The sequence below is a fragment of the Homo sapiens genome, chromosome 5, assembly GCF_000001405.40.
Source record: "Homo sapiens chromosome 5, GRCh38.p14 Primary Assembly".
NCBI lineage: Eukaryota > Metazoa > Chordata > Mammalia > Primates > Hominidae > Homo > Homo sapiens.
The window spans coordinates 120,984,247-120,992,510 of record NC_000005.10 but is presented as its reverse complement, the minus strand read 5'-3'; positions in this window follow the sequence as shown (position 1 = coordinate 120,992,510).

Sequence of the window (8,264 nt, the reverse complement as noted above, 5' to 3'; positions counted from 1 at the left end):
TGCCTTCCCAAATCAGCCTCTCTCTCTCTCTCTCTCTCCCTCACACACACACACACACACACACACACACATACACACACACTCTCTCATATACAGACCTGCATACACACTTCTCCAGTTATCTGTGTATCAGGTTAAGATCTTCATCACAAACTCAAGTGTGTGAAAACATTCTTACTTACAAGTATTTTTTGTTACTATGCTCCCCAATTCCAGGGGCAGCATCTAAATTCTGACAACTTTTACATTCTCTCTTTGTGCCTGTCTTCCCTATTTCAGAGTACAATACGAAACTAAAAATTTCTCATTTTACTCTTTGAAATCTATAGTTCTTCAAGTAATTTTATAAGAACTGTATTATATTGATGTAAAAATAGGATATATACAGCAAAAGGAACATTTTAAATGTTACTATGAATTTTTATGCAAAGTTCTAAATAAATTCTTAGCAAACTAAATCCAAGAATGTAGAAAAATGATTATAGGGAATAAGAACAAAGTACAGCATAGCAATATAATGAATTTTTAAACTTTAGGCAATCCTTTGGTGTAATTCATCAAATTGAGCCAAAAACAATAAAAAGACAAATGATCATCTTAATAAATGCACACAACAATTTTGGTAAAAATGTAATAATTCATGATTTTTAAAAAATGAAGTCTTAGTGTAAAAGGAAGCAGCTTAATTCATTTAACTCAATAAAGAACATCTGTCAAAAAAGATAACATCACATGCAATGGTGAATAGTTAGACGACATCTTTTAACAGGAGCAAGATGTGGATGCCTGCATTATAACTGTCATTTATGTTGGACTAGGAAACACAGGTAATACAACAATTCAGAGAAAGAGAGAAAAAGAGACAGAGAGAGGAATATTGAGAGGGATATTGATTTAAGGATTAGAATGTCAGAAACAAACATGTCATTGTTCGCTAAATGTGTGATGTATTCATATAAAATCCAAGTGAATCTACTGACTACTTATTACAATTAGTAAGTGACTTTTGTTGCATAAGTGTATGAAAGTTTGTAGTATAAAAATTAATCATTTTAATAACCCAGTTAGAAACATTTAGGAAATAGAAGTTTTTAAGTTTATTATAATAGAAATAAAAACTGGAGAGTAATGGAATAAGATTAACAAAAGTTATGAAAGTATTTATTGAAAAATGTATAAAATTTTATGGAAGGACATCAAGGAAGATTTAAAATATAGGGATATACTATCTTAATGGATGGGAAAACTATCCAATAAAAATTAAAATATTCATAAAATAAATTCTATCAAATTCTAAATTGGGTTTGCCATAAAAATTTTAAAGCTAATTATCAAACTCATGTAACTAAAATAAGGAGAAGAAAGGAAAATATGTCCTACCGGGTATCAAACTGTTTATAAAGTTGTAAGAATCTTCATTTAAATGATAAACAAAATATACCAACATGCAAAGTAGACAGCCTAGAAAGAGATCCATTGATACTTGGAAGCTTTGCACATGAAAACTAGCGTTGCAAATCAGAAATGCAAGGAAAACTGGAAATAACAGAATTGAATCACTATTTTACTCCTTAAAAACAGCTAATTATTTTACAACTACATAATATATAACATATAAAAGGTGTGGGCAAAGAGACACTGACTAGTAACTTTAGCAAACAATGGTTTAACTGGTGCTGTAAGGCTAGAAACAAAAAGAACTTTCATAAGCACTATAGTCTAGAAGGTAAATTTTCTTTTACAGGGATAAAGGATAGCGTTTCTATAATTAATTTACTTGTATACTAGGGTTGAAAAAGCAAATTTTGGATATTTGGAGTCTGGTTTCTCCTTATCTGAGAAAGATGCTACAAATAAGCAAGGGAGTGGAATGGAGGGAGGAATGACTCTGAGGCGCAGAATTAGAAAAATCAGAATAAACTCATGTTTATCATGTACCCATGTGAAAACATCACAAAAACCTGAAGTGAGAGATTACTAGAAAATAATCCACTCATTACTCCTCAAAAGTGTCAACATCATGACAAACAAGGAAAAACTGAGAAACTGCCATGGATCTGAGGACAATAAGCACTTTATGACAACTAAATGAAACATGGTGTCCTGAATTGAATCTTACAACACAAAAAGGACATTAGCAGGAAAACGAAATTTAAATTAAGTCTGTGGTTTAATTAGTAGCATTATACCAATGTTAATTTCTTAATTTTGATGAATATAGCATAATTATGTAAGCTACTAATATTAAGGGAAACACAGTGAAGGGTTATATTGAAACTCTCTGTACTATCTTTGCAACTAGTGTCTAAATTTTAAAATTATTTCAAAATAAAGAATTTAACAAAACCTGATTTCAACTTTACTCAATCCTCTCTCATTTCCGTTAAAAGTAAGAAAACCTAATAATAAATGATGTAAAACTAATATTCTGTTTCAAAGGGTATTTTGAATTGAAATCAAGCTTGTTTACATAAACCTTATTTTATGCAAGACATTGTTATAGAAGCCAATTATCTGCAAACATACATTTATGAAAAATTAAATTATGTGCAATATGATTTCCCAATACCACCTAACCTCCCATCAAGTTAGAATTGTGTAACCTGACTGTAAAATTAAGTGTGTGCTGTTTTCTTAAGTTTTTTTTTTTTAAAAAAAAGACCTATCTCAATATTTTAATTTTTTTCTAATTTACTGGCTAAAATATTTCCAAGGCTAACTAAAATATCTCTTTGTATAAAAGATAAAAAAAGAAAACTCAAATCATACTTGTCATATCTTTGACAACTGCCTCTTTCTCCTGTTCATTAACATATTTCAGATGTCTATGAAAGAATATTTGACATGTATTTTTTTAAATAATCAAGACAAGAATTTCACAGCTAGTCCAGAACAATGCAGAGTCAAAAGTAACTCCTATATATTTGAATTCTCTATGCATTCTCACACTCATACACACAAACACACACGTAGGTTGTGCATGTGTGTGTGTATGAGTGTGTTGGGATTGTATAAAATTATGTGCATTTCATGAACAGCCAGTGAATGAATATAGAAAAGAAATAACATTGAGATTTTAATTGGCTTTTAGCCTCTGCAACACACATAAATAAGAGCTGAACTTCATATTAATTATAATTTTCTGTGATTCAGTCAATATCCTCTTTTATTTCTTTCACAGTATTTCAAACATTTTTCATTTAATCCTATTTTCACAGTTTTTATTGTAATGGAATTCCTATCCTTAGAACAATTGCTGGCAAACTGTAGCTATCATGCATTAAAATCACCTGGAGGGCTAGATAGGGAACAATTTGTCAGTCCCCACCTTCAGAGTTCCTCATTAACTCTGACTGGAGACTGAGAATTCCCATCTCTAACAAATCCCCAGCTGATACTGTTGCTGTAGCCTGAGAAGTACACAGTCTTACTGTATGTGTCAGATGTTTCTGCTACCAGTATTACAAGTAGGGGTGTCAAGCTTATTTCTCCCTCTCTTCACATCCAATGTGGCAAGAAGAAATTACTTACAAACTGATACTTCAAAATAATGTCTTTAATGTGAATAAGCATATACAATGAAAATAGATTAGCAAACAAAGAACTGAAGGGTTTACAAAGATCATTTATATTCCAAAAATCCTAAACCAAATTAACTACCATTTGACTGCACAGTTGTTTACCTCTGAAACAGCTCTACATTTTGCAAATCAATATATGGTTGTCTGAGAACAGTATAAGGAAGAGAGCTGCTGAGACTAAATGGGGTTCTTGTAAATTGTCCTCCCACTCCCCTGGTAAACAATGTGAAACATCTGCTATCCAACAATTTCACAACAGACTTATCTTTCTGGGTGGTTTATAAGGCAGCTTTGGTCTCAAGTAGCTTAACACAGAAAGTGTGTCATACAAAGGTTTGTATTTATATTTATAAGCCGAAGGCATATCTGTTTATGAATTAGTAGCACATTCTGCATGGTTTTTTAATTAATTTTTACTACCATTAATGTCCAGTAGCATGAAACAGGCCACTACCTCTTCAGAACAGTCAGAATTACGTGAAAAGTATTATTCTTATGACTTTAACCTTTTACCACCTGATATTTCATGATCCAAAAAGTCACAGGCTTTTATTTACTTATAGGTTTTCTGGTAATTTCTGATGGAAATTACCAAGCTCTGTATAGAAGTGTCCTAGTCTGATAAAATGAATGGGTTTTTACTCACCAGTTCCCTTGAAAAGCATTTGTAATATTTAAAATTATTTGCAAATGGCCATGAACTTATTAGAAGATTCAAAAATTCAATACTTTTTCAGTTATGCATTGAGTTTTTCAAATAAGTTTTTCTTAGATGTATTATGAATAATAGCAGTCATTTCAATTAGTTTCTTTGCTCCATTGTTGCTAGTGGAATATTGTGTTTTTTTCAGATAATTATTCTTTTTTAATGTATTTAAAATTAGTTTATCACCTTAAAATTAAATAAGCTTTCTCAGGAGTGAAGTTTACTGAGGATCTAGATCCAAATTCTTTTCATATGCTGTCTTAAATCATTTTTATATCCTTCTCATGGAACTTAAGAGGAAGGTATTATCATTCTTGTTTTGTATGTAAGGAAAAAGTCTCAAAGAGATGTCATCTCTTGCCTGAAGTCATACAACTAATAAAAGTCAATAATATATTGAACTCAGTATACCTTGATTGTACTCACTGTACAAATAAATGAAAATAGGTTTGGGATAAGTGTTTTATTTTCCACCAAGTAACAAAAATTTAGTGATTAACTTAGAGTTAGAACATCAAGTTTAGTTTACTTCCCCCCAAGGAAGTGGCACTTAGATTCTCCAACCTTAAACCTAAGATAGCAAGAGAAATTAATACTAGAAAATAAGAGAGAAGAACTTTGTATTTTTTAACTGACTATTTTGTAATCCACAGATAAAACTATATTTATTGCATACAACATAATGTTTTGAAATATAGACAGCTTGTGGAGTGACTAAATCTAACTAATTAACATATGTATTAACTCATATAGTTATAGTTTTTAAAAAATAACACTTAACATACACCCTCAGCATTTTTCAAGAATACTGTATATTATTAACTATAGTCACCATGCTGTACAATAGTTTTCTGAACTTATTCTTTCTATCTAACAAAAATTCTGTATCTTTTGACCAACAACTCCCCAACACCCCTCTCAATTATCCTAGCCTGTGGTAACCACCAATCTACTCTCTACTTCTAGGAGATCAACTTTTTAAGACTCCACATATGAGTGAGATCATGAGTTATTTGTCTTTCTGTGCTTGGCTTACTTCAGTTCACATTAATATTCTCCAGATTTATCTGTGTTAATGCAAATGACAGGATTTCCTCATTTTATGGCAAAATAATATTTTTGTATACAAAGTGTATACAATGTGATATATATGTGTGTGTATGTGTCTATATATTTTTATATATATATATATACATTTTGCTTATCTATTCATTTGTTAATGGGTACTTAAGTTGATTCCATATCTTGGCTATTATGAATAATGCCGAAATAAATACAGGAATACAGGTATCTTTTGACATATTCATTTTATTTCCCTTGGATATATACCCAGTAATGGGATTGCTGAATTATGTTGTAGTCTTATTTTTATGTTTTGAGGAACCTCCACATAGTTTTTCTAATGACTATACTAATTTACTTTCCCACAACAGTACGCAAGGGTTTGTTCCCTTTTCTTCACATTCTCGCCACTATTTGTCATCTTTCCTCTTTTTCATAACCATTCTAACAGGCATGAAGGGATATCTCATTGTGGTTTTAATTTGCATTTCCCTGATGATTAGCATTTTTAATATACCTATCGGTCTTTTATATGTCTTCTTTTGAGAGGTGTCAAAACTGATTAAAGATTTTAATTGATTAAGACTGGAAACTACGAACCAATTAGAAGAAAACAGAGAAAATCCTCCATGACAATGGTCTGGGCAATGATTTTTTGGATATGATTCCAAAAGCCCGGGCAACAAAAGCAAAAATAGACAAATGGGATTACAACAAACTAACTGCACAGCAAAAGTAAATCAGCAAAGCAAAGAGATAACCTACAGAATATGAGGAACTATTTTACATCTCATAAGGGGTTAATACCAAAGTATATAAATAACTCAAGCAACTCAATAGCAGGAAAAAATATAACCTGATTAAAAAATAAGACAGCTGTGTTTTATCTTTGGTCTTCTCTTCTGTTTACCTTATAATCTAAACTATGTTTAAATGTCTTTCTCGCTCTCTCTCTCTTTTTTTTTTTTTTTTTTTTTGAGACAGAGGCTCACTCTGTCCCCAGGCTGGAGTGCAGTGGCGCAATCTCGGCTCACTGCAACCTTCACGTCCCGCGTTCAAGTGAATATTGTTTTACTGAAATTTATTAAAATTTTCCACCTTCATCTTTCTAACAGAAAAATAGGTATTTTTTCAGCTGACAGGTATAACCTGGGCTTGACCCTGCTAACCTATATTCTCATGCAGAACAAAGGGAATAAATGAGACTTATGATTTTTCACTCTTTCTATAAATGTTTGATTTTCCTAAGGTTCAAATTATGTTTTAATTAATATGCTGAGCCCACAAGCCACTGGTGATTAAGTCATTATGATATCATTTCTTCATTTGCTCTTTTTACCCAATTGACTTGAAATGCTGTTTCTAGAACTTTTATTTGATGTTTCCCTGCCAATTTTGTTCCTGGTGTTTGATCTCCTAAAACAAACAAGTGCCACTAGAATAGTATACTTTTGCTCCCAAGGCCTCCAGCTATCTGGGACAAACCAATTACAATTGGATCATTTAGCTTTTAAATGCCTACCTACCTCTTCTAACATGTTTAGTCTGCCATCTCAGAGTCTGTATAAAATAGATTCTAATGAGCCAGGTACTGCCTTGGAAGAACTCAGAAGATTAAATTCTGTTTGAATCAATATTTTAGTTTCTTTTGCTTTCTTCACAGTATTTCAAAAGAGGAAATGATTAAGAATATATCTAGTCCTTAGGTAAAAATAAACATCAAACTGCAGACAGCAGGAAGACTCAAATTATTCCTAATGATCAATGTTGTCAGCATTAAACTGCCCATATCATCATTGATCAAGAATGAAGAGTTCCTTGGTGAATAGGAGCCCTGGGAAGAAAAAAAACAAGGAAGAATAAAAGTATTTAGGAAAAGTAGCATTTAGCTCTTTTCTTTTTTCTCCGTTCATCCTCTCTTCAAATGAGGCCACTTCCCACCTTCCTCTTGTTCTCATTTTCTATGCTTCATGCTTATAATTCTAAGGTAAGGTTTCTCAAGGCAGGAAAGTAGGTTGAGCTGTCAGGGAGGAAAGGAAAAACTTGCTAAAATGATTTGAGTTAGCTAATGAGTGACAGGATGAGAAATGTGTAAGGAACTAGCTTTCCTTCCAGGCTTCATATATTTCCAGTTCTAATCCTTCCCACTATTGAGTTTTCTCCACTGTGCTCTAGCCAGGGAACTGTGAACCCAGGGAAAGAACACCTCCAAGTACATTGACCAAAGGCTAATTTGCTTTTCTTATATCTACAGAAAAAAAATACATACATGGTTTATATATGAATAAAAACAAATACAATAGGTTTTCATAGCATAGAATATTCTCACTGGTAAACTTTATTATTATAATTTTCTATTATAATGAAACCATACTGGAGAATTCAGCCTACACTTGTGGAAGGGCCATAGGAACTGGAGAGTCTTAAGTCTGTAGGGCCTTAAGAGAGAAAGACCTTATTAGATACTGGAAATGACTTTCCAAGTTTCAGAAATCATTATAATCAGTTAGAAGTGGATGTCAAATCTTTAGAGCCATAGGAATGGCTATAAAAGAACTAACGTGTTTCTTACCCTCAGGAAAATCAGGAATCCTGGCTCTAAAGATTGCTAGAATTCTATAAAAATATAATATATATATATATATATAACATTTTAGAGATAAGTTACCAATATATGCATAAACTTTCCTGGCTGATGCCTACAATGTCTCCAAAATAAATCTACTCTAATGATTTAATTCTCTGTAAAATTATGGGTTGTTAAACTTTATTTATACTTTTGCATGAATAACAAGTTATGGATACATTCATGATAGTAGGGTCCAAGCAGGAGGGGAAGAGGAGGACACTGAATGCCTAAAAGAGATTGAGAGAGGAATTACAATAAGATGAGAAAAGAACAATGAGCCTTCAGA